This window comes from Homo sapiens, chromosome 20 (assembly GCF_000001405.40).
Source record: "Homo sapiens chromosome 20, GRCh38.p14 Primary Assembly".
Lineage (NCBI taxonomy): Eukaryota > Metazoa > Chordata > Mammalia > Primates > Hominidae > Homo > Homo sapiens.
The window spans coordinates 21151216-21177926 of NC_000020.11; the positions used below are offsets into that span (position 1 = coordinate 21151216).

The 26711-nt window shown below is 40.1% G+C and overlaps 1 protein-coding gene and 1 pseudogene across 14 annotated transcripts in view; one reads left to right on the plus strand and one right to left on the minus strand.

Annotated features, from left to right (window-relative positions):
• KIZ (kizuna centrosomal protein) overlaps nt 1-26711 on the plus strand; it is a 120648-nt gene that overhangs the window by 25241 nt on the left and 68696 nt on the right. For all 14 annotated transcript variants that reach the window (XR_937105.4, XR_001754334.3, XR_007067468.1 and 11 more), the window contains 2 exons: nt 10656-11292; nt 11635-11944. Coding sequence is in view for 11 of the 14 variants with exons in the window: in NM_001276389.2 (NP_001263318.1) it covers nt 10656-11292; nt 11635-11944 (947 nt within the window). In the remaining 3 variants the exon portion in view is untranslated. The remainder of the gene's footprint in view (nt 1-10655; nt 11293-11634; nt 11945-26711) is intronic.
• RPS15AP1 (ribosomal protein S15a pseudogene 1) lies at nt 14950-15399 on the minus strand (annotated as a pseudogene).

A 26711-nucleotide genomic window follows, 5' to 3' on the forward strand; every position in this document is an offset into this window, starting at 1 on the left:
TTTCAGTTACTGGAAGAAAGGATTTACTTAGGAAAATGGTGGGAGAGGGCCTTTTTTAAAGGTATTAGCTACTCTCTCATAGTCAAGAAGGAAAGACAGTATTTTTATAACTTACCCATTGTGGGGACATTTGGCTAGCCAGCTGTCTTCCTTTGCTCTTCTCTGTGGCAGTATTCTGTGGCAAGTGTATTATGTGACAGAGGCTCTAACAAGTGAGAAAATCGTATTCACAGATAGAGGTGCCTATCGTGTAGTGGAATGAGGGGGAAGAGAAAAAAAGTGGATGAGAAGGGGAAAAGAAACGTAAGTCAATTTAACAAGAAAAAGATAAATTTTTGTGGGGAAACACTGTTTCTTTTCTCCTTTTGATAGTAGAAAAGGATTTATAGAAGCTCCATAGGAGAACGAGTATTGAGTTCTTGTTCTTTAGAAGACTTTCCAAATTCATATAGTCCATGAAATACTGTATTATTAGAAAAAGATATACTTCATGCAGTCTTAAAAAAAAAGTTAGTGCCTAGAACTTTCTTGGAAAAGAATCTGGTAGTAACAGTCACGATGAATACACACATATGCTTTGTGCCAGCAGTCCCACTTTTGGTAATCTGTGCCCTAGAAAGAAAATCTTTTGTTCAAAACGGCAAAAATATAGTCTGCGTGTTGCAACATTATTTGTAGCAGCAAAAACACAGAAGCAGCCTGAATGAGCAGCTGCAGAGGAGAGGCTGAGCTAGGGAGAGAGAGCACCCTCATGATCAAGTATTCTGCATATGGCGCCCAGAATCCAGTGCATTCCTCATGATCTGGGCAGCGTCCAAGGAATATTATTAAGAGAGCAAAGCAGGTTGCGGAGAGTTGCTTACAACATGCTCTCACTTTGTACAAGTGGCCAAACCTTACCAGCAAGGAATTAGTTGTCCTGGGTTTGAAGGAAGGTGTGAATAGGCATCCTAACTGGTTTGCTTCAGTTACTTCATGGAGGGGAGAGGGAGGCAATGAGCTGGGGAAAATAAGTAACTTGTTCTTTACATCCCTTTGCCTTATGTCTCATTTCTATAATTTAATAATTTTTATACGATTTTAAAAATTAAACCTATGAAGAAGGGATGAGCAGGTGGTTAGTTCATTTTAGGAAGAAGGAGCCTGCTTGTGGTTGAGACTGTTCTTTTAATTGTGGGGGAGTGTGAGTTGCTTACGTCCTTACTCAAATCCCTCAGAATTATAGAAAATTGGAGGTGCCTTTCTATCCCTCTGATGTAGTTCTGCATATTTCTTTTGTGAATGGAGATCTCTAAGAGAGTTTTATCCTGAGTTACCCTATTTGGGGATGGTGGAGCATATACAGGGGATATTGAATTGTATTATAAAAAGAAAGGGCTGTTACCTTGACAGTTTTAGGTATTTGTTAAGCCTCTTAGGAAGTGTTACTTGAAAACCATAACTTAACTTTGTATTACTTTGACCAAGACAATTGCTTAGGCCTACGGATGTGAAACAGTGGTTTTGGGGTGTTCTGTTTATTTTGTGAAAGTTACCTGCTGTCACTATTTTGGAATGCCGAATTTCTCTTGAAGCTCATACCTGCTTTTCTCTTACTCTTCCATTTACCCCACATAGACTAGGTTTTATTTATCATATACAAGTTCTATTCAGGGTCTATCTTAGTGAGATCAGATTTTGAGTTATTTGAAGTTAGAAATTAGGCACAGGCTTCAGATTCACTATTAGGGATTTTTATGTTTGTTTTTAAAAGCTGTGGTTCAGTAATGCAATTTGAGTTTGACTGACTCAGTTTTGAATATTGTAGCATAAGAGGTTTGCATTGGAGTCCTGGTATCTGAGTTTAAATCCTGGCTCTGTGAACATGGACAAGTTGCTCAACCTGGCTAAGTCTCATAAGAGTAGGGCTAATAATAATGATTGTTTTCATAATATAAATCTCTTAGCTCCTCCTTGTCACCTCGTACATGCTTGATAAATGTTCCCTGCTCTTGATGCCACCGTCACCACCATCATTACCATTGTTGTTCTCCACTAGGGTAGCCTTACTTTGATCCTGGATTCTTGCCACTTATTTAAGATAGTGAAGAGGTTGGTGTGGGGGTAGGGAGACTACCTATGAATTGAAGAAATAGGAGGTAATAGCACTTGATGGTGACAATTCGTAAAGATTGATTTTGTGCAAGATAATTTACAGAATACACCATTAAAGCCTAATTTAACAGATATATCTTAAATTTAGATAGTTCCAATAACTGTTGAATTTCATGGCCAGAGATATCTCTCGATGGTCTAAGTTGTGAGATTTTGGTGATGACTACATTTGTCATGGTGGCAACATGTAAGAAGAAGACTTAAAAATCACAATGGCATACTGTATTAGTTTGCTAGGGCTGCCATAACAAAATACCACAAACTGGGTGGCTTAAACAACAGAAATGTGTTTTTTGAAGTTCTGGAGGCTGGAAGTCCAAGATCAAGGTGCCAACAGGGTCGCTTTCTGGTGAGGCCTTTCTCCTTGAGTCATAGAAGGGGCCTTCTCACTGTGTCCTCATGTGCCTTTTCTCTCTGTGCATGAACTGAGAGATCATTGGTATCTCTTCCTCTTATAAGGACACCAATTCTATTGGATTAAGGTCCCACCATTATGACATAATTTAACCTTCATTACCTCCTTTAAGGCCCTATCCTTTAAGCCACAGTGGGGATTGGGACTTCAACATATGAATTGGACACAATTCAGTGTGTGATACGTGTATCATGTAAAATATGTATAATAATTTTATAATAAACATATAACTTCAGGATTGTTGGATGTAAATTATTGTTAATGGATTTTTAAAAATCTTCTCAATGTGACTTAAGAACTTGCTTACATAGAAATTAAAAACAATAATTGTACCATGTGAGAAGCTGAAAATTTGGTCTAACAGCTTCATTTCTGTTCTGCATTTAACTTGCTGCTTCTCATTCCCTTGTCTGTGAAGATAATAAGAAGAAGAAAAATAAAGATTTCCTTAGCATTTTGCAAAACATGAAGTGTAACTTTTTTTTCAAAGTATACTAGTGGTTGAGGTCTGCCTTTAAATGCTGTAGTTCATAATGATTAAGACATCATTACAGTTCTAAACTTGTTGATCTCTTCTTATGCTCACTCCTCTTCTTTCCCCCAGTAAAGATGAATTCCTGATTTTTAAAAGTTATCTTCTGTTCACTAATAAATATTTTCAGTCATGTTCATGTGCTTTGCTATTGCTTCCCACAACTCCTAACATTTTTCAAGACTGCAGATGAATAACTGTGACAAGAAGAGAAGAAAACTGAACTAAAATCTTGGATTATAGATTTATCTCTAGCACTCAACTACAGAAAGTAATAGGAAGGTGTGGAAAAGTTGGTCATTATGTCAGATCCTTAAATACTGATACATGCTGCTGCTTTTGGCAATAACATCTGTCTCTCAAAAACTTTTGAATTCCTAATATTATTCCTGTGTCAACAATAATGTGAAACATGGCATTCTGTTTTCAGCTTCCCTGGCTCAGAAACTGCTTTGAGAAGACACATAATAGTGTTCAGAATTTAAGATTAAAGAGTACTCTGTTTCCTGTTGCTAAGCTAATAAAATGACAGACTTTTAAAAAAGAAGAGACACCTGTCTTAGAGCCTGATCTCAGCAAATGGGAAACCTGCCAGCCTACAGAAACTCAGCTTACATTTCACTGGAGCCAGTATTTTACGTTGCAAGTGTGGAGCTAGTTCAAATGCAGCATTGTCTTATAGTGAGCAGCAGTTAATTTTTGCAAGTTTCTCATTTTTTGTTATAAAAGTTTATATAATTGCCGGTGGGAATGTAAAATGGTGCAAACACTTTGGAAAACAGTTTGGCAGTTCCTGAAAAAGTTAAACATATAGTTACCGTACGAGGCAACAGTTTCATTCATAGCATAGCATTCAAGCATAGCAGCTTGCTGTGTACAAGATTGGACACCAAAAGTGGACAAAAGTTTATAGCAGCATTATTCATAGTAGCCAAAAAGTGGACACAATTTACATGTTCTCATCTGATGAATGGATAAACAAACTACAGTATATCCTTAAAATAGAATATTATTCAGCCATGAAAAGGAATAAAATACTGATAAATGCCACAAAATGGATAAACCTTGAAAACATTGTGCTAAGTGAAAGAAACCAATCAAAAAAGACAACATATTATACGATTCCACTTACATATTCATAAAATGTGCAGAATAAGCGGATTTTTACAAACAGAAAGTAGATTAATGGCTGCCTAGGGCTGGGGACTGACTGGGGAGGATGGGGAGTTACGCTAAAAGGTATGGGGTTTCTTGTTGGAGTGATGAAAAAAATGTTCCAAAATTGATTGTGGTGATGGTCGCACAACTCTGCGAATATACTAAAAACCCACTGAATTGTATGCTTTTAAAAGGATAAGTTTTATGGTATGTGAATTATATCTCAGTAAAATGGTTTTCAAAAGTTTAAATTTACCGTATCTAAGTATTTTTGTTATGACATAGTCTTTATTTGCCTCATTTTTATGACTTCATGACCTTTCCCTATTTTATAGTCATATAAGTTGCTTCCAACTTTTTATGATTTGAAATAATGCTCTACGTGAACTTGTTTGTCCACATAGCTGCTTTTTCTATTAGCTTTATTTCCTTATTATGATGGATTTCCATATAGAATTACTGAATCAAAGCAACAAGCATGGTTAGGACTTTTGATGCCAGATTCTTTCCTACGAGGATTCTGCCCATGTATTCAGCCACCAGCGGTGTGACAGCTTCTATTTCACCTAACCTTCCTCAGTACTGGGGGGTTATAATTTTTAAAAATCATCTTTATTTTACAATAATTTTAGATTTGCAGAAAAGTTGCAGAGATAGTACAAAGTGTTCCCTTGGATCCCTCACCTAGTTTCCACCATTGTTACCATCTTACATTACCATGCCACACTTGGCAAATCTAGGAAACCAACACAGATACATTACTGTTAACTGAACTCTAGACTTGATTCAGATATTGCCAGTTTTTCCATTAATGTCTTCTTTTTTTGCTGTTCCAGGACCCAATCCAGGATTGTTATAATTTTAATTTTTAAAAATTCAATATAATGTTTATAGAATGGTATTACATTGTTATCAGTCTTAGACGTAGGGTTATAATGGAGCTGAAAAAATTCCTGTTGCCTAATGACTTAACATTGTAGTGTAATGCATTCCTGACATGTTTGTGGTGATGCTGGTGTCAACAAACCTAGTGTGCTGCCAGTTGTATGAAAGTATAGCAGAAACAATTATGTATAGTATATAATACTTGGTGATAATAATAATAAATGACTTTGTTACTGGCTTATTATTGGCCCAATTGACAAAATTGGATTATGGGTTGTGGAATAGAAAACAAGATAATATCAATGTTAAATTTTCTGATTCTGATCATGAACTGTGCTCAAGAAAGAGCGTGTCTCTGTGCTTTTGGAAATGCTCACTGAAGTGCTTAGTGGTAGATAGGCAGGGTGTCCCAACTTACCCTCAAATGGTTCAGAAAAAAATCATAGCTTATATTTAGGTATACACACATACAGAGACAAACACATATATGTAGAGGGAGAGAAAATGATAAATGGGATAAAATGTAAACATTTGGTAAATCTGGCTAAACACTGTTAAGGGAGTGTTTTGTATTATTTTTGCAATGTTTCTGTAAGTGTAAAATTATATCAAAGTAAAGCCACGCATGCTGATGCACACCTGCAGTCCCAGCTACTTGGGAGACTGAGGCAGGAGGGTCACTTGAGTCCAGGAGTTCGAGTCCACCCTGGGCAACATAGACCACATCTCTATAAATAAAAAAAAAATTGTTTAAATTATGTCAAAATAAAAAGTTACTGGTTCCTATAAATAATACTGGCAACAACTAGAAATAGTGCGGGAAGACAACCTTCCTATTGAGTTGAAGCAGATCCTCAAGTACACGTTGCCTTTTTTGGGCCCTTGGATGAATGATGCATCGTCCACAGACTTTTATTTTTACACATAATTAAGGGCCACTTTTTTATAATTGTTAATTTGTTACAGGCCACTAACATGCCATGTACTTATTAATTAGTATATTACTAGAGTTTGTTGAGGACCCAGAGTTCAGTATTCCAAGAAGTCTGGCAATGCTTGGCAAAATTGCAAAACAGTTAATAACTACTTGCTGTCACAGAGAGTGGTAAATACTCCTCTTTTTGGGAAATAAACCTCTGCTAACAGTGTTGTCTCTTGAATTGGCCTTATTTTCACTTTCTGTAGTTCTGAAGCATTTACTATAAGTACATCATGGTTCCCTGCTACTTTTCCTGACTATGCAGATTACCAATCTGTTGTTTCTCTCCAGTTCTTGGCTCTGGATTCGTTGTTCAGTTTTGCCTATCTTAGGGGGTTGGAGACATTTGAGAATTACTAGTTGAGAGCAGTAACTCAGGGGCACTTCCTTTGGCCCTCCTCAGGTGTCTTTCTCATATCTGAAATGTGCCTTCTTTTGTGCTTTGGCTTGGCCTTTAGCGGATCAAAAGAGGAAGGTGCTTAGGCCTGCCATGTCCTCCCTGTGCTGGGTTAGTCGTTGCTCTGGTGTTGGTGCATTAACACTTCATAAACTGGTCTTGAAAATGAAAAATTAAAGGCTTCTCAGACTCCTAAGTCTGATCACTGATTTGCTTCATGTCTCCACCAAGTAACTGCTATTGCACAGCCACTCTGAGGCCTCAGCCCTTTTAGCCCTGCTAAAGTCTCCATAGTAGCCCATCCCTTAGAGCCATCTATTTACACAACTAGTTTTTTTATAACAGGAAAAATGAAAGTAGTTGTTAGATTACAGTAGTGGTAATAGGTAATTTTTCCTGTTTTAAAATTTGTCTTTGTTATTATATCAGTGTAATATATATCAGCTTTTTTATTACAAAAGGAATAGAAGACACAGTATATTATGAATACTATTCATATTGGTGAGTCAGAATGTTGATTAATATCATTTTGCTGTTTAAACCATATGGTATAATGGAAAATTCTTTAAAATGACATAATGGCCTCTTTGGATGGTGAAATGACAGTATTCTGTAAGGCAGGCTTGACCCAGCAATTTCAGTTCTAGAAAAGTATCCTACTGATAAACTTGCCTGTGTGCAGAGAGACATACACTCAGGGATAATCACTGCAGCATGATTTGGAGTGGAAGATGGTGGGAAACAAACCAATGTCCTTCAATAGCAGACTGTTTACATAAATTATGGTACATCTATAGAATAGGATAATATGCAGCTGTTAAAATTGGATATAATAAAAACTATAATTATATAATGCAAAGTATGTCACCCTTTACGCACATACCTACTAGTGTATCCAGGTCCTTTCTGCAAGAAACTTAGAGTTGCTTTCTCTGGGGAGAACAGCTAGAGGACTAAAGGATCATGGAGGTGGAACTTCCTTTTTCCTCTATACTTTTCTATCCTCCTGGATCTTCCTGCTTCTCCTCCCTCTGTGGGGAGAGATGGGAGAGATGTACTTTTCCTAATTTTTTTTTGAGACAGGGCCTCACTCTGTAGCCCAGGCTGGAGTGCAGTGGTGCGATCATAGCTCACTGCAGCTTTGACTTCCTGGGCCCAAGCAGTTCTCCTGCCTCAGTCTCTAAGTAGCTGGGACCACAGGTGTGTGCCACCATGCCCAGCTAGTAAAATACATATATATACACATATATTTATTTATTTATTTATTATTACTATTATTATTATTTTTTTTTATGGAGTTTTGCTCTTGTCACCCAGGCTGGAGTGCAGTGGCAAGATCTCGGCTCACTGCAACCTCTGCCTCCTGGGTTCAAGCGATTCTCCTGCCTCAGCCCCCTGAGTAGCTGGGATTACAGGTGCCCAAATATTTTTTAATTAAAAAAATTTTTTTTAATTTTTAATTTTGTAGAGATGGAGTCTCACTATGTTGCCAAGGCTGGTCTCAAGTTCCTGGGCTCAAGCAATCCTCCCATCTCAGCCTCAGGGCCGGGAACTCTTCCTAATCTCAGATTAGCTGCATAACTTAATTTCTTTTCTAAGGATTTTTTATTCATTTGTTCATTTTCTTTTTTTGTGATAGCTTTATAGTTTTTATTATATTCAGAGTTGCGCAGCCATAATCACAATCAATGTTAGCATACTTTCATTCCTGAAAAAGAAACCCCATACCTGTTGGGAATCACTGTTTACCTCCCCCCGATTCCTTCTACTCCCCACCACCCACCCCAGCCCTTCGGTCCCCAGCCTGGGGCAAACAGTTAACTACTTCCTGTCTCTAAAAATTTGCCTATTCTGAACATTTTCTATAAATGAGATCTTACAGTATATGGTCTTTTATGACTGGCTTCTCATTTAGCATGATATTTTCAAAGTTCATCCATGATGTAACAGGTATCAGTAATTCATCTCTTTTCATGGCTGAAAATTATTCTCTTGTATGAATGTATTACATTTTATCTAGTCATCTAATGTTGGCCATTGGAGTTATCTCCACTTTTGGCTATCATAAATAATGTTGCTATGCACATCCTTTTACAAGATTTTGTGTAGTCATATGTTTACACTCTCCGTACTTCTGCCTAGATATGGAATTGCTGGTTAGATGGTAACTCTGTTTAACTTTTTCAGGAGCTGCCAAACTCTTCTAAAGTGGGTGCACCGTTTTATATTCCCATCAGCAGTGTATGATTCTAATTTCTCCACATCCTGGACTACACTCGTTATTGCCTGTTGTAGTGAATTCTTATAATTTTATGTTGCCTCAGCATCCATTTTAAATCTAAGTTGAACCTTCTCATACCAGAAGCAGGACTCAGTCACCCCTGACACAGTTGGCAGTTCCACCCTCCTTCGCAGTTCCTCAGTGTGGTCGGTCCAGATAACCTGCCTTACACAGCTGCTCTCTGGTGACCACTTCCCTATGGGACAGCTGGATGCAGCCTGCTTGACAGGCCCTTCTGACCTTCGCATCCCCCATGGACCATATGCCACAGTGACCACCTCTCAGTCACTGGGTAACCTCCCAGAACTCATGCCTCCTTGCTTTAAACTCACCAGTTAAAACTCCCCAGGCTGCCTGTGGGAAACCTGTTTGGATAACACCTGCGACTCAGTAAAGACATTGGCTCATGTGTCCTTCCCCTCAACCCCTGCTTCTACCATGTAAGGACACGGGTCCCTTTTCTCTCTCTCTCTGCCTGCGCTCCCTGATGTTTGTGTGTGTGGCCTCCAGGTGTGCCATGTACTCCCCAGAACCTGTAAGTGATAATGTCTTTATTTCCATCTCATATTTCTCCTAATTATTGGAGGGGTACTCTCCATCTTAAAAATCCTAAATTAAGACACCTGTCATTCTTAGTATAGCCATTGATATGGGCTGAATATTTGTGTCCCCCCCAAAGTTCATATATTGAAATTCTAATCCCCAAGGTGATGGTTTTTGAGGGTGAGGACTTTGGGAAGTGATTAAATCAAGGGGGCAGAGCCTTCATGGGTGGGATTAGTTTCTTTATAAAAGAGGCCCGTGGAAATTTGCCTGCCCCTTCCACCCTGCGAGCACACAGCAGAAAGATGCTGTCTGAGAGAAAGCAGTTCCTTACCAGACCCAGAGTCTGCTGGCGCCTGCCTTGATCTTGGACTTCCCAGCCTCCAGAACTATCAGAAACAAATTTCTGTTATTTATGCACTGTTTATGGTATTGTTATAGCAGCCTGAACAGACCAAGACAGCCATCATAGTGGGTAAAGTGATATCTTATTGTGCTTTTGAATTATGTTTCTCTAATGAATAATGATATTAAGCATCATTTTATGTGTTTATTGGCCATTCATATATCTTCTTTGGAGAAATGTCTATCCAAATCCTTTTCCCACTTTTAAGGGCTGTTTGTCTTTTTATTATGTAGTTATATGACTTCTTTATGTATTTTGGGTACTAGACCCTTATCAGATACATAATTTACAATATTTTCTCCCATTATGTGGGTTATATTTTCACTTTCCTGATGACGTCTTTTCAAAGCATGTATTTCTTTTTTCAAAAACATATTCTATACTTTCTTTTTTTTGAGATGGAGTCTCCAGGCTGGAGTGCAGTGGCATGATCTCGGCTGACTGCAGCCTCTGCTGCCCGGGTTCAAGTGATTCTCCTGCCTCAGCTTCCTGAATAGCTAGGATCACAGGCACCTGCCACCGTGCCCGGCTAATTTTTGTATTTTTAGCAGAGACGGGGTTTCACCATGTCAGCCAGGCTGGTCTCGAACTCCTGACCTCAGATGATCTGCCCACCTTGGCCTCCCAAAGTGCTGGGATTACAGGCATGAGCCACCACACCCGGCTTACTTTCTTTACTATATTTGTTTTGTGAACTATCATTGTTATTAAAATTAAATCCTATGGACTTTACTGCTTTTTGCTCATTCATTATGTAGGAAGCCATGAGTTTAATAATACATGGTAGGTGCTGATTTCAATAATCATGCTTTGTTTGACCTCCTTTCATTTCTGGAAAAAAAAAAAAACCCCACCTAATTGTTTATACACAGTATGTTTAACTCACATCTCTTTTGGTGTTGCAGGTTGCAGTGCACGAGGGGATTAACTCAGGAACAGCCATGTCAAGAGGATTGTATCAACCAGCAACAATCTTTATGGGCCGCCAAATGTCAGCCATCTTAAGCATGAGAGATTTCAGTACAGAGCACAAATCTCCCCAGCCCACAAAGAACTTTTCAATTCCTGACCCACATTCACACCGACAGACAGCCCAGAGCAGTAATGTGACAGACAGCTGTGTAGTACAAACTAGTAATGACACACAGTGCTTAAATAAGTCTGACAACATAGATGGAAAGGCATCTCTTCAGATTGGTGAGAAAATGCCAGTCACAGCCAGTGTATTGTCTGAGGAGGAACAAACTCATTGCTTGGAGATAGGAAGTAACACACGTCATGGCAAGAGTAATTTATCTGAAGGCAAAAAGTCTGCTGAACTCAATTCCCCGTTACGGGAAAGATTAAGTCCAGAGAACAGAACCACTGATTTAAAGTGTGACAGTTCCAGCGGATCAGAGGGAGAAATACTGACACGGGAACATATTGAAGTTGAGGAAAAAAGAGCCAGCCCGCCAGTCTCTCCGATACCAGTTTCAGAATACTGTGAATCTGAAAATAAGTGGTCTCAAGAGAAGCATTCTCCTTGGGAAGGTGTTTCAGGTGGGATGAGAGGCTGAGTTTGGTTGCTGATTTTTCTGGGTGGTAGTGATCTTATGTAAGGACAAAATATACTAATTATCTCTCTTTCATAAAATAGTATCTTTGCCAACAAATTCCATTCTAATGAACTCTTAAATATGTACATGGGAGTGAATTTGCTGATTTTTAAACCCACTGTGATTTTTTTAAACATTTGAAAACGTGTTTAAGCTTTTAAGTTCCGTAATGAATTGTGTGTGGGTTGCTTCTCCATGTTTTTAACTGATGAGTAATTCTGCTGTGTGTTACCTTGCTTCCTCCTGAAGTCAGTGATTGGTAATCAGTTCATGTCGCCACTTGCAGATCATCTTGCTCACAGGGAACCAAAGTCACAAAAGCCCTTCAGAAAAATGCAGGAAGAGGAGGAGGAAAGTTGGAGCACCAGCAGTGACCTTACCATTTCAATAAGTGAAGATGATCTGATTTTAGAGAGCCCAGAACCACAGCCAAATCCAGGTGGCAAGATGGAGGGAGAAGATGGAATAGAGGCCTTAAAATTAATCCATGCTGAGCAAGAAAGAGTTGCCCTATCCACTGAAAAAAATTGTATTTTGCAAACCCTAAGCTCTCCTGATTCAGAAAAGGAATCCTCCACTAACGCACCAACAAGAGAGTAAGCCATTCAATTTTTTTTTTCTACTGTTCTGTTTTTAATTGTAGACATTTCTAGAGACCATTCCACTGGGAATGTATTATCGAGCACTCAGCCATGAATGTGTAAATTCCTTAAGTCTCATAAGTAATCTTGTAGGCAAGACCTAATTTTCTTTCTGTCCTTCTTTCTTCTTTCTTTCCTTCCTCCCTTCCTTCTTTCTTTGACAAAAAAACTTTAAAAGTTTGAATATCATTGAATCATGGTGATTGCAGCTTATAATTATATACACATAATCCCTGGTTAACTTATAAGTCATTCCCCAACCCCCTACTCTCCAGGCTTTCAGAAAATAAATCTGTTTTGAAGTTTTGGTACCACAGAAGGTGACAGTTAAACTTACTAGGAATGCAGCATTAGAGTCTGAGAACTTTATGTCTAATTAATTTGCTTAATCCTTATATTCCTTGCCATATTATCATTTTTGTCATCTGATTAAATATGAGTTAATAAGTTCTTCTAATTGTATATGTAAGCCAGATTTCCTTTTTTGAATCTAAATAGGAAACATTAGAATCTCTAATGTTAAATGGGAACATCAGCATTATACATTTGAGAACTTATATTATCCGACTGATAAAAATTTGTATATGTTTTTGTGCTACTGATTGGAGACGCTAGAAGAAAACTTTGTAGAAAGTTCTTGTGTATCTACTATGTAGAAAACTTGTTAACTGTTGAAAAGTGATTTTGTGCTGAAAAATGGCATTAATAACATCAAATCTCTTTTAGGGGTAGAAGGAACCTAAGTAAACAACCTAAGGTAGATCTCACCTTTTACAAATGAGGAAACGAAGGCCGGGGCAGAGTGGTGTCACGTAGGTCTACTGGATCTGCTGGGGCAGAACACCCCACAGCCTGTCTGCCTGAATGTCACACCACTGCCCCACCCCCAGAATTTTCTGTTACACCGTAATGCTGGTCACCCTTTCATTTCCACAAAGCTGGCAGCAGTGAAAAGCCAAGTGGGCCTTTTTGTACGGCATATGTTCTCTTTAGAACACCATTGTACCTTTTAATATATTGCCTCTTACCATTCATTGTCTACTTATGGTGAAAAGTTTATGAATAGGCTTTAATTGATAGATTGTATCCAAACTGATGTTCAGGAAATATTTATTAAGAGCATATCCAAGTACAGAGTTCTTGCACTATGGATGGAAGAACCGACATGGTTCCTGTCATTGGGAAATTTGATTTATTGGAGAGGCAAGCCAAATGGATTTTTCTAGTAATAATACTTCTCTCATCAAAGAGGCACAGGTAATACATATTACATCATCAGAAACTTTATTACTGGAGGTAGAATGTTATCTATCTCTAGTTTTGTGTTTGTGGGCTTATTTTTATGGCATGGTGGACAAGTTAGTACTTTGGTAGGCTAACAAGGGGACTAATACACTTACCCAGGACTCAGTCTTTTTCTGAGGTGAAAAAAATTGAGTATGTGTATGAATTCCTACTAAACATTTCTCTAAGAGTCAAGAATGTTCATCCTGTCTCCATTCGAATGACTTTTTTTTTTTTAATGATCTTGGAGGCATAAAGTCAAGCTCCTTGGAGTTTTGGCATATAGTTTTCCAGTATTTATTGGAAAATATGGGCATGTGGGGAATTTTGAGTATTTCTCTTAATAAAATGCCCCCAGAATGAAAATGTCAGTCAGCAGTGGTTGTTTCTGTGTCTGTATTATCAAATTTGAGCCTACTGATTTTCTGGGTAAAAATATTCTCCAGGAATAGGTTGAAGGTGGTTTTAAATGATGCTAGTTAACTTGCTGACATCACCACTGCATTTGAGGCCCCACATTTTCTTAATTTATTGTTTAACTGGCGCTCTTCTCCTTTGCTCTGAGGGTTATTGGTCTGAGACCATAGCATAGCATCATATTTATAGAGCTAGCACTATAACCTAAACAGTTCAATATTTCAATTGACTTTAGGGTCTGTTGGGGGCCTGGAGAAAAATCACTTGAATGAATTTAATTAGCAAAGATGCATAAATGGGACAAAGGAGGACACATAGGAGCATATGATCCAGAATGTAAAATCTGCGCAACATCCTGAAGTCTGTATAGGCTTTGAAGGAGAAAGAGGAGGGAAAGAGCAAATAGGGTCTGGAGGAAAATGCAAGAAGGAATGCGGAGCAGAGAACACAGAGGACATGGGAGGGGCAGAGCAAAGGACCCCATGGGTGAGGAGGGCCTTTTGGAGTTAAGGTTCAAAATGTCACCTAGGGTGAGGTTGAGAAAGGCCTGGAATATCAGGTTAATGAATTTAGAGTTCACTCTATGCTTTGTAGAGCTGTTGAAGGTTATTTTAGGAGAAGGACAGTGTGATGAGGCTTGATTTAGGAGGATTAACCTGACAGCATTAGTTCATTAGGATTAATCATCCATGTGGTAGGCAGAAGTGTAGATGGCCCTGAGATTCCCGCTCCCTGTTGTCCATTCCCTTGCCTTGAGAGTGGGCAGGACTGGGAGTCTGATGGATTTTACTCCTGTGATGAAGCTGTCATGTGACAAAGATGAAGGATTTTGCAGATATAATGAAGGTCCCAAATCAGTTGCCCTTCAGCTAGTCAAATGAAAATTATCCAAGGTGGACCTGACCTAATCAGATGAGACTTTAAAAGAGACTGGCCCTTACTGAAGCCAGTGGCACAACCTCAGCTCGCTGCAACCTTTGCCTCCTGGGTTCAAGCTATTCTGCCTCAGCCTTACAAATAGCTGGGACTACAGGTGCCCGCCATCAGGCCTGGCTAATTTTGTTTTTGTTTTTGTTTTGAGATGGAGTTTTGCTCTTGTTGCCCAGGCTGGAGTGCAATGGCGCAACCTCGGCTCACTGCAACCTCCACCTCCTGGGTTCAAGCAATTCTCCTGCCTCAGCCTCCTGAGTAGCTGGGATTACAGGCATGTGCCGCCATGCTTGGCTAATTTTTGTATTTTGTATTTTTTTTTTTTTTTTGTCCATGAGGCATTTTATTTGTAAATATATGTATTACATCCCTAGAAAAAGAATTCCAGGATTTTCCCTCCTGTGTGTTTTCGTCTTGCTTCTTCATGGTCCATGATGCCAGCTGAGGTTGTCAGTACAATGAAACCAACTGGCAGGATGGAAGCAGATTATTCTGCCATTTTTCCAGGTCTTTGAGTTGCACGTCAAATCTGGAGCTGATCACTCCACACTTGTTTAGCCTGCCTGTGAGGTTCACAACAATTTCCCAGCTCTGTGGTCATCAATGATTTCAAATTCGCCAGTGTAACCATGCTTCATCATCACAATGAGAAACCGGACGATGACTTTGGAGCACGGCCTAATAAGCACCTGGCGTTTGCCTCTCTTTTCGGCATTGTTGATGGTCTTGAGAGCATCTGCCAGGACATTCATGCGCACCATTGTGGCGGTGCGGAAAGAGCTTTTGTATTTTTTTTTTTTTTTGGAGAGACTTGGTTTCTCCATGTTGGTCAGGCTGGTCTTGTACTCCCTACCTCAGGTGATCTGCCTGCCTCAGCTTCCCAAAGTGTTGGGATTACAAGCGTGAGCCACCGCACCTGGCCAATTTTTGTATTTTTAGTAGAGACCCGGTTTCACTATGTTGGCCAGGCTGGTCTTGAACTGCTGACCTCAAGTGATTTGCCCACCTTGTCCTCCCAAAGTGCTGGGATTAGAGGCGTGAGCCACCACGCCCAGCCTGAAGCCAGAGAGATTTAAAGCAGCTAAGATACTCTCTTGTTTCCTGAAGAAGCAAACTGTCATCTTGTGGGAAAGACCACATGACAGGAAATGGCATGCAGCCTCTAGGGGCTAAGGGCCTCAGTCCTACAGCCACAAGGAAATTGATTCTGCCAATAACCAGTGAGTGTGGAAGAAGTCCCTGAGCCTTAGATGAGACTGCATCTCCAGCAGACACCTTAATTTCAGCCTGGTGAGACCTTGAGCAGATGACCCCACTAACCCAGATCCAGACTTCTGTCTCATGGGAACTATGAAATCATAAATTTGTGGCAATTTGTGATACAGCAATAAGAAAATTCATACAACTCAGTTGAAGAATTGGAAGCAAGGATTGCATGGATAGAAGTGTCTACCCATAATGACTGGGAACAGGCTGAATTGGACATGTTCAGGGTTCCTTGTGGGAACACATGGTAACAAAGTAGCTGAGTGAGTGATTCAGCAGCCAAGGTAACCTGTGCTTCCCCTCCCCTTATACCTTCACCATCTGAGCAAGTGCATTTTCACACTCAGGTAAGCAGTAGTGGAACATTATAGACTGCTAGGGACTCTAAAAGTGGTTGTGGCTATCTACATTAACCAACAAGCAGTTTCTCATGCTAGTGGGTTTTTTGTTTGTTTCGCTTTTTTTTTTTTTTTTTTTGAGATGGAGTTTCACTCTTGTCGCCCAGGCTGGAGTACAATGGCACGATCTCGGCTCACTGCAACCTCCACCTCCCGGGTGCAAGCTAGTCTCATGCCTCAGTCTCCCAAGTAGCTGGGATTACAGGCATGTGCCAGCACATCCAACTAATTTTGTATTTTTAATAGAGATGGGGTTTTACCATGTTGGCCAGGCTGTTCTCAAACTCCTAACCTCAGGAGATTTGCCTGCCTTCAAAGTGCTGGGATTACAGACGTGAGCCACTGCGCCTGGCCTACTTTGTTTTATATATCAATGCATAATGATATGTATCCACCTTTAAAGTACCATTAAAAAATAGTTTCTTTTTTTTATTATTATACTTTAAGTTTTAGGGTACATGTGCACAACATGCAGGTTAGTTACATATGTATACATGTGCCATGTTGTTGTGCTTCACCCAGTAACTCGTCATTTAACATTAGGTATATCTCCAAATGCTATCCCTCCCCACTCCCCTACCCCACAACAGGCCCCGGTGTGTGATGCTCCCCTTCCTGTGTCCATGTGTTCTCATTGTTCAATTCCCACCTATGAGTGAGAACATGCGGTGTTTGGTTTTTTGTCCTTGCGATAATTTGCTGAGAATGATGGTTTGCAGTTTCATCCATGTCCCTACAAAGGACATGAACTCATCATTTTTTATGGCTGCATAGTATTCCATGGTGTATATGTGCCACATTTTCTTAATCCAGTCTGTCATTGTTGGACATTTGGGTTGGTTCCAAGTTACATTTGGATTGGTTCCAACTTACAAGAGATGTGAAGGACCTCTTCAAGGAGAACTACAAACCACTGCTCAGTGAAATAAAAGAGGATACAAACAAATGGAAGAACATTCCATGCTCATGGGTAGGAAGAATCAATATCGTGAAAATGGCCATACTGCCCAGGGTAATTTATAGATTCAATGCCATCCCCATCAAGCTACCAATGACTTTCTTCACAGAATTGGAAAAAACTACTTTAAAGTTCATATAGAACCAAAAGAGAGCCCGCATCGCCAAGTCAATCCTAAGCCAAAAGAACAAAGCTGGAGGCATCACGCTACCTGACTTCAAACTATACTACAAGGCTACAGTAACCAAAACAGCATGGTACTGGTACCAAAACAGAGATATAGACCAATGGAACAGAAAAGAGCCCTCAGAAATGATGCTGCATATCTACAACCATCTGATCTTTGACAAACCTGACAAAAACAAGCAATGGGGAAAGGATCCCCTATTTAATAAATGGTGCTGGGAAAACTGGCTAGTCATAGGTAGAAAGCTGAAACTGGATGCCTTCCTTACACCTTATACAAAAATTAATTCAAGATGGATTAAAGACTTAAACATTAGACCTAAAACCATAAAAACCCTAGAAGAAAACCTAGGCAATACCATTCAGGCCATAGGCATGGGCAAGGACTTCATGTCTAAAACACCAAAAGCAATGGCAACAAAAGCCAAAATTGACAAATGGGATCTAATTAAACTAAAGAGCTTCTGCACAGCAAAAGAAACAACCATCAGAGTGAACAGGCAACCTACAGCATGGGAGAAAATTTTTGCAACCTACTCATCTGACAAAGGGCTAATATCCAGAATCTACAATGAACTCCAACAAATTTACAAGAAAAAAAAACCCCATCAAAAAGTGGGCAAAGGATATGAACAGACACTTCTCAAAAGAAGACATTTATGCAGCCAAAAGACACATGAAAAAATGTTCATCATCACTGGCCATCAGAGAAATGCAAATCAAAACCACAATGAGATACCATCTCACACCAGTTAGAATGGCGATCATTAAAAAGTCAGGAAACAACAGGTGCTGGAGAGGATGTGGAGAAATAGGAACACTTTTACACTATTGATGGGAGTGTAAACTAGTTCAACCATTGTGGAAGTCAGTGTGGCGATTCCTCAGGGATCTAGAACTAGAAATACCATTTGACCCAGCTATCCCATTACTGGGTATATACCCAAAGGATTATAAATCATGCTGCTATAAAGACACATGCAGACGTATGTTTGTTGCGGCACTATTCATAACAGCAAAGACTTGGAACCAACCCAAAAAAATAGTTTCTCTACTTGAAAATGACCTGTGCTCCATCTACTCACCCCTCTTCCTTTAACCCCACCTGAACCCCTTGCAAGTACTGATCTTTTTAGTGTCTTGTCTTTTCCAGAATGTCAAGTAGTGGGAATTACATAACAAGTAGTATTATCAGGTTGGCTTTTTTCACTTAGTAATGTATATTTAAGGTTATTCCATGTCTTTTTATGGCTTCATAGCTTATTTATTTTTAGCACTGAATAATACTCCATTGTCTGGAGGTACCAGAGTTTATCCATTCACCTACTGAAGAACATCTTGGTGGCTTCTGGGTTTTGCCAATTGTGAATAAAGCTGCCATAAATATCTCTGTGCAGGTTTTTGTGTGGACATGTTTTCAACTTATTTGGGTAAATACCAAGGAGTGTCATTGATGGATCATGTGTAAGTCTGTTTTTGGTATGGGGTTATTTAGTTTTTAAATTTTAAATTTTTGTAGATACATAGTAGGTATATGTATCTATTTATAGGGTACATGAAATATTTTAATACAAGCATGCAATGTATAATAATCACTTCATGGTAAATGGGATATCCATCTCCTCAAGCATTTATCCTTTGTGTTATAAACAATCCAGTTATACTCTTTTGGTTATTTTTAAATGTACAATTAAATTATTATTTACTATAGTCATCCTTTTGTGCTATCAAATACCAAATACTAGATCTTTTTTTTTTTTTTTGAGACGGAGTCTCTCTCTGTCGCCCAGGCTGGAGTGCAGTGGCACGATCTCAGCTCACTGCAAGCTCCCCTTCCTGGGTTCACGCCATTCTCCTGCCTCAGCCTCCCGAGTAGCTGGGACTACAGGCACACGCCACCATGCCTGGCTAATTTTTTGTATTTTTAGTAGAGATGGGGTTTCACCGTGTTAGCCAGGATAATCTCGATCTCCTGACCTCGTGATCTGCCCGCCTCAGCCTCCCAAAGTGCTGGGATTACAGGCGTGAGCCACCACGCCCGGCCATCAAATACTAGATCTTATTCGTTCTTTCTAACTTATCTTTTTGTATCCGTTAACCATCCCCACTTCTCTCCGCCCCCGAACTCCACTACACTTCCCAGCCTCTGGTAACTATCTTTCTACTCTCTGTCTCCATGAGTTCAATTGTTTTAATTTTTAGCTCCCCCAAATAAATGAGAACATGCAAAGTTTGTCTTTCTGTGCCTGGCTTAAATCACTTAACGTAATGACCTCCAGTTCCATCTATGTTGTTGTAAATGACAGGATCTCATTCTTTTCTATGGCTAAATAGGTAAGTCTATGGTTACCTTTGTAAGAAACTGCTGAACCATCGTCTTCCAAAGTGGCTGTGCCATTTTGCATTATCACTAGCAATGAATGAGAGTTCTTGTTCTACATCTTGTCAGCATTTGGTATTGTCATTTTAAAATTTTAGCCATTCTAAAAGGTGTTTAGTGGTATGCAATTGTTTTAATTTGCAGTTCTCTAATGACATATGATGTTGAACATCTTTTCATATGCTTATCTGCCACCTGTGTATCTTCTTTGATGAGATGTCTGTTCAGATCTGTCACCCATTTTTATTTCAGTTAGTTTTCTTATTGTTGAGTTTTAATAGCTCTTTCTACATTTTGGATATCAGTCCTTTATCAGGGGGATAGTGTGTCTTGCAGATATTTTCGCCCAATCTATGGTTTGTCTTTTCCTTTGAACAGTGTCTTTTACAGAGCAGAAGTTTTAAATTTTATTTTTTAAATGTATTTTGTTTGTTTGTTTGTGACAGGGTCACACTCTGTTGCCCAGGCTGGAATGCAGTGGTGTGATCATGGCCCACTGCAGCCTCGACCTCCCCAAGCTCAGGTGATCCTGCCACCTCACCCTCTTGAGTAGCTGGGATTACAGGCGCGTGCCACCACACCCAGCTAATTTTGTATTTTTAGTAGAGATAGGGTTTCACCATGTTGGCCAGGCCAGTCTCAGAGTCCTGTCCTTAGGTGATCCACCCACCTTGGCCTCCCAAAGTGCTGGGATTACAGGCATGAGCCACCATGCCCGACCTTTTGCTATATGACTTTCGAGGTTGAGTTATACATAAAAGGCCTTGCAGTGTCTACCCTATTAGCTGGAACTCTCACTATGGGAACCACAAGCCACCATATTGAAAGTCTGATCATTCTAGGCAGCTGTGCTGAAGAAATTATGTGTAGGTGCCCCAGTCCATAGTCCTTGCTGAGCCTTATCCTTCCAGTCGTCCCCACCAAGGTGCTGGACATATAGGTGAAGCCTTCTTGGACTCTCCAGACAAATCCATCCAGAGGCTAAATATCACTAAATGCCCTCTCTTGATAATATGTGAAACAGAAGAATCACCCAGCCACTCCTTGCCTGCTTTCCTAATCCACAAAAGCATGAGATGTAATGACTTGGTGGTTGTTTTAAGCTACTAAGTTTTGAGGTAGTTTTTTATTAGTCTATAGATAACGAGAAAAGGGGTACATTCATTTAACATTAAATATGGAACACCTGCTCTGTGCCGGGTATTGTTCTTGCTTTATGGTACTTATGATCATGCATGTGGAGAAGAGGAAGGAAATATAAACCAGTAAACAATCTGTGTGAAAAGTATTATGACAAAGGGCCAGGCACGGTGACTAACGTGTAATCCTAGCACTTTAGGAGGCTGAGGCGAATGGATTGTTTGCGCTTAGGAGTTCGAGACCAGCCTGGGCAACGTGGTGAAACCTCGTCTCTACAAAAGATGCAAAAAAATTAGCCAGGTGTGGTGGCGCACGCTTGAGCTATTTGGGGAGGGTGAGGCAGGAGGATCACTTAAACCCAGGAGGTTGAGACTGCAGTGGGCTGAGATTGTGCCACTGCACTCCAGCCTGGGTGACAAAGAGAGACTCTGTCTCAAAAAAAAAAAGTATTATGATGAAGAATAAGCAGGTTAAGTAGATAGAGAAGGCATGGGTGCAGTTTAATACAAGATATAAGATAGTGGGGAAAGGTCTCTATGGTAAGATGGTAGTTGAGTAGGACCTGAAGTGGGAGAGTTGGTAAGCCACATTCAGCTGTGCCCATGCCTTCTCTATCCACTTAACCTCATCTGTTCTTTGTCATCTTTTAGACTGGTTTATGTGTTTGTCTCTTAGTTTATACTTCTTCTCTCCTCTGGGAGAGAGATGGGAGAGGGATGGGATATGTCTTGAGAAAGAGCATGCTAGGCAAAGGGAACCACAGTACAGAGGCCATGCAGTGGGGGCATACTGAGTGTTTCCTGGAACAGCAAAGTGGCTGGTGCACCTGAATCCGAACAGGTGTTGGGGAGACGGGAGAAGCTGGAGTGAGAGAGTATCAGTGTGCCACGTTGTGAAGGGTCAGTAGGCTGAAGGAAGGACTTTGGGTTGAACTTCAATTGAAATGAAGAATCACTCTGGCCACTTATGGAAAATCAAGTTGGGGAAAGAGTGGCAGCAGGGAGTGCTGTTTGGATAATATAGCAGAGATCCTGCAGAGAGGTGCTGTTGCTTTGGACTGTGGTGGCAGCAGTAGGGTGGTAAGAAGTGGTCAGATTCTGGATATATTTTTATATAAAAGAACCAGCTGGAGGGCTGGGTGTGGTGGCTCATGCCTGTAATCCCAACACTTTGGGAGGCCAAGATGGGTTGATCACTTGAGGTCAGGAGTTCAAGACCAGCCTGGCCAACATGGTGAAACCCCATCTCTACTAAAAATATAAAAATTAGCTGGGTGTGGTGGCGGGTGCCTGTAATCCCAGCTACTTGGGAGGCTGAGCCAGGAGAATTGCTTGAACCTGGGAAGTGGAGGTTGCAGTGAGCCAAGATTGTGCCACTGGACTCCAGCCTGGGCAACAGAGGGAGATGCCGTCTCAAAAAAAAAAAAAAAAAAAGAAAGAACCAGCTGGATTCTTTATGGATTGGGTGTGGGTTATAAGAGAAAGGGAGTAGAAGGATGACTCAAGGGTTTGGGGACAGAGTGAGTTATTTATTGAGATAAGGAACATGTAGGAGGCACAGACTTGAAGGAAAGAAAATCAAGACAGAAGTTTTGGGTATGTTAGATTTGAGATGCCTTTTTGACGTTCACAGGGAGATGCTGAGTAGGCAGATGGATTTCATGAACTTGGAATTCAGAGAGAGGTCAGGGCTAGATAAATACATTTGTAAATCATCAGGGTATAAATACATTTTAAAGCCATGGGCCTAAGAAGAACACTAGAGAGTGAATGTAAATAGGAAAGTGGCCCAGGGCATGACTCCACATTCAGGGTCAGGAAGATCAGAAGGAACCAGCAAAGGAGTCTCAGAAGACGCTGCAGGGAAGAACGAGGAGAACCAGGAGGGTGTTGTGCTGCAGGTGCCAAGTAGAATGTTTCACATGAGGTTTAGAAAGCTTAAATAACCTGCTCAGGTCACAGAGGTGCAGCTAGGGTCTAAACTAACAGTCTGATGCCAGAATGCATGCTCTTAATTTCTGTTTTCCACCACCCAAATCACAACCAAAATGGTTGTTAGTACTGACTCCGTGCCAGGCACTGTTTTAACACCTTTATTTATAATCATTTAATCCTATTATCATCATCATTTTACAGATGAGAAAACTGAGGCACAGGGAGTTATGTAACATATTGAAAGTCATAAAACAGCTGTGTGTGCTCCAAACTGGCCCTCTGTGACCAGAGTTAACTGGTACCCTATGCTGTCTCCCAGTGAATCTTTACTACCTGGATAGTTGGAGTATCATCAAAGATAATATTTTATAAGGTTAAATAGGAAGCTCAAAAAGCAAATTAAATTCTTTAATTAGAAAAAGAAAAAAGAAAAGAAAACTAAGCAGTGGCAATTTGACCTCTTACTCCGTCCATATTGATTTTTGTGCTTTCCAACCTCAAATAGGCCAATGAAGTGCTATGTGCCTTTATTCAGGCTTGAACAAAGTACTTGCAAAGTTGCTTTGTTCTGTCTCCTCCTGGAGTGTGACTGAAAACAGAATGTAATGCTGCCTTTTAAACTAAGTCACATGAAAGCCTTGGTTTCTCAAGGTCATAAAAATGTGATCACACAGATTGAATCCCATCCAGTGATTTTAATTTAGCTCCTCTTCAAAGTTAAGTGTAGGAAATAAGTTATTGCATCTGAGAAAAATTTGTTGCTGAAAGTCATGTGCCTGGAATAATAGGTTTGAACTATGTTCATTTAGAATTTACCCTGAATTCACTTTATAAGGAGCTGGAAGCATATTTAGAAATTCAGCATTCCTTCAGATGTGATGATGCCTTCAGATGTCTGTTCTCAGCTGTCTGTTTTCATCAGCACAGTTGCCTGTTTCTCTTGAACATGACCTTTGGCACCTCAATACTGGTGGCCCCTGAGCCTTTTCTTGCCACCACACAGATTCTGTCCTTTGTTCCCAAAGTAAGGCTATGCATTATACTTCTGGAAAAATAACCCAGTGGCAGTAGATGTGGCCGTCAGGGTATTCCCTTTGTTTTCTACCTGTCACTTCATTCTAATCTTGCCTTTGCTTTTCCTGTTAGCTCACCTAGTTTCTGAAAAATCTAAGACTTTCATTATCCTTATTTTGGTCTAAATTTGTAAAAATCCAAACCTACTAAGAAGGGAATAGTCCTGAGACCTGATCCTCAGCAAAGTAGGCAATAATCGTAGTCACAGCCATTGTCACTTGGTGTATAGGAGATATTAAAAGAAGTCTCCATTGGCCAACAGGAATGAACCCAGGTCTCCATCCTTTGCCAGCCATCTCACCATATGGGATTCTAGCCTCAGTCAGAAGAACATGAGTGACATGGAGCAAAGGCAGGAGTTAGATAGGAACTGAGAAGCACTTGGTGAAGGTCACAGCCCAGGTCACCAGAAGACTGAAACCTAATCCAAGTACCATAAAAGGCTTCCCCTCCCCCATACCTTGCCACCACATCAATAGGGATCCTGTATAGTAGCAGGAAACAATTATACAACTGAATGAACCACATGTCTCAGACCTTAGTTAAGTCTCTAGGAGGCCAGGCATGGTGGCTCACTCATGCCTATAATCCCCAACACTTTGGGAGGCTGAGGCAGGCATATCACTTGTGGTCAGGAGTTTGAGACCAGCCTGACCAATATGGTGAAAGCTGGTCTCTACCAAAAAATACAAAAATTAGCCAGTCATGGTGGCACACGCCTGTATTCCCAGCTACTCAGGAGGCTGAGTTGGGAGAATCACTTAAATGCAGGAGGTGGAGGTTGCTGTGAGCTGAGATGGTGCCACTGCACTCCAGCCTGAGCAACGGAGTGAGACCCTGTCTGAAAAAAAATGGAGGCTGGGCACGGTGGCTCACGCCTATAATCTCAGCACTTTGGGAGGCCAAGACAAGTGGATCACCTGAGGTCAGGAGTTCAAGACCAGCCTGGCCAACAGTGCAAAACCCTGTCTCTACTAAAAATACAAAAATTAGCTGGGTGTGGTGGCGGGTGCCTGTAATTCCAGCTACTTGAGAGGCTGAGGCACAAGAATTGCCTGAACCTGGGAGGCAGAGGTTGCAGTGAGCCAAGATCGCACCACTGCACCCTATCCTCAGTGAGAGAGTGAGACTCTGTCTCAAATCAGTCAATCAATCAATCAATCAATCCGGAAAGCTGAAGACAAGGGAAGGAGACAAAAACAAGGACACCCAAGGAAAGTTTAGCCTCTGATACCTACATTTGCAGCTGCAACAGACAATAAACACAGCCTAACTTCTAACCAGATGAACATAAAACCTCAGCTTGAAGGCCTGTGTACCTGTTCACCCTAAAGGACTATTTACCTAGTACATCATGCCTGGCTTTCAACAAAAAACATTACAAGGCACAAAAAAGGCAAAAAAAAAAAAAAAATACAGTTTGAATAGACAGAGCAAGCATCAGAGCCAGACTCAGATATGGCAGATGTTGGATTTTTCAGACTAGGAATTTAAAATAACTGATTAATATGCTAGGGCTCTAGGGCTCTAGAGCTCTAAAGGAAAAAGAGGACAACGTGCAAGAAAGGATAGGTAATGTAAACAGAAAGATGGAAATTATAATAAAGAATAAAAAAGTAATGCTAGAATTAAACTCTGTAACAGAAATAAAGAATGCCTTTGGTGGGCTTATCAGTAGATTGGACTTGGTAGAGAAATTATGTCTAGCTTATTTCACTTAGCATGTTGTCTTCAGAATTCATCCATGTCAAGATGTGTGTCAAAATTTCCTTCCTTTTTAAGGCAGAATAATATTTCATTGTACGTGTATTTTCTTTGTCCATTCATCCATTGATGAACATTTTGGTGGTTTCTAGATCTTCGCTATTGCGAATAGTGCTGTGATGAACACTGGAGTGCTAATACTTCTTTGAGATCCTTATTTCAATTATTTTGGATAAATACCCAAAAGTGAGATTATTGGATCAAATGGTAATTCTAGTTTTAATTTTTTGAGGAATCTCTGTACTGTTTTCTATTTTACACTCCCACCAACAGTGTACTAGAGTTCCAGTTTCTCTACATCTTTGCCAGTGCTTGTTATCTTTTGTTCTTTTTGTGAATAGTCGTATGAACTGAAATTTTTCTATGGTTTTGATTTGCATTTCCCTGATGATTAGTGATGAGCATCTTTTCATATACCTCTTGGCCATTTATATGTTTTATGGAGACGTTGAAGAAATGTTTATTCAGGTCTTTAGCCCGTATTTTAATCAGGTTATTAGTTTTTTTGCTGTTGAACTGTTGGAGTTCCTTACATGTTTGGGAAATTAACCCCTTATATGTGTTTTGCAAATATTTTCTCTCATTCAGTAGATTGCCTTTTTGCTCTGTTAGTTGTTTCCTTTGCTATGCAGAAACTTTTTAGTTTGATGTAGTCCCACTTGTCTATTTTTGCTTTTGTTGCCTGTGCTTTTGGTGTCGTATCCATGAAATCTTTGCCAAGGCCAATGTTATGAAGCTTTTCCCCTATGTTTTCTTCTAGGAGTTTTAAAACTTCAGGTCTTATATTTAAATCCTTAATTCATTTTGAGTTGATTTTTCTGTGTGGTATGAGAGTCCAGTTTCATTCTTTTGCATATGGATTTCCAGTTTCTCCCAATACCGTATGTTAAAAGACTGTCCTTTCCTCATCATATATTCTTGATACCCTTGTCAAAGATCAGTTGACTGCATATGCATGGATTGATTTATGGGCTCTCTATTCTGAATGTTC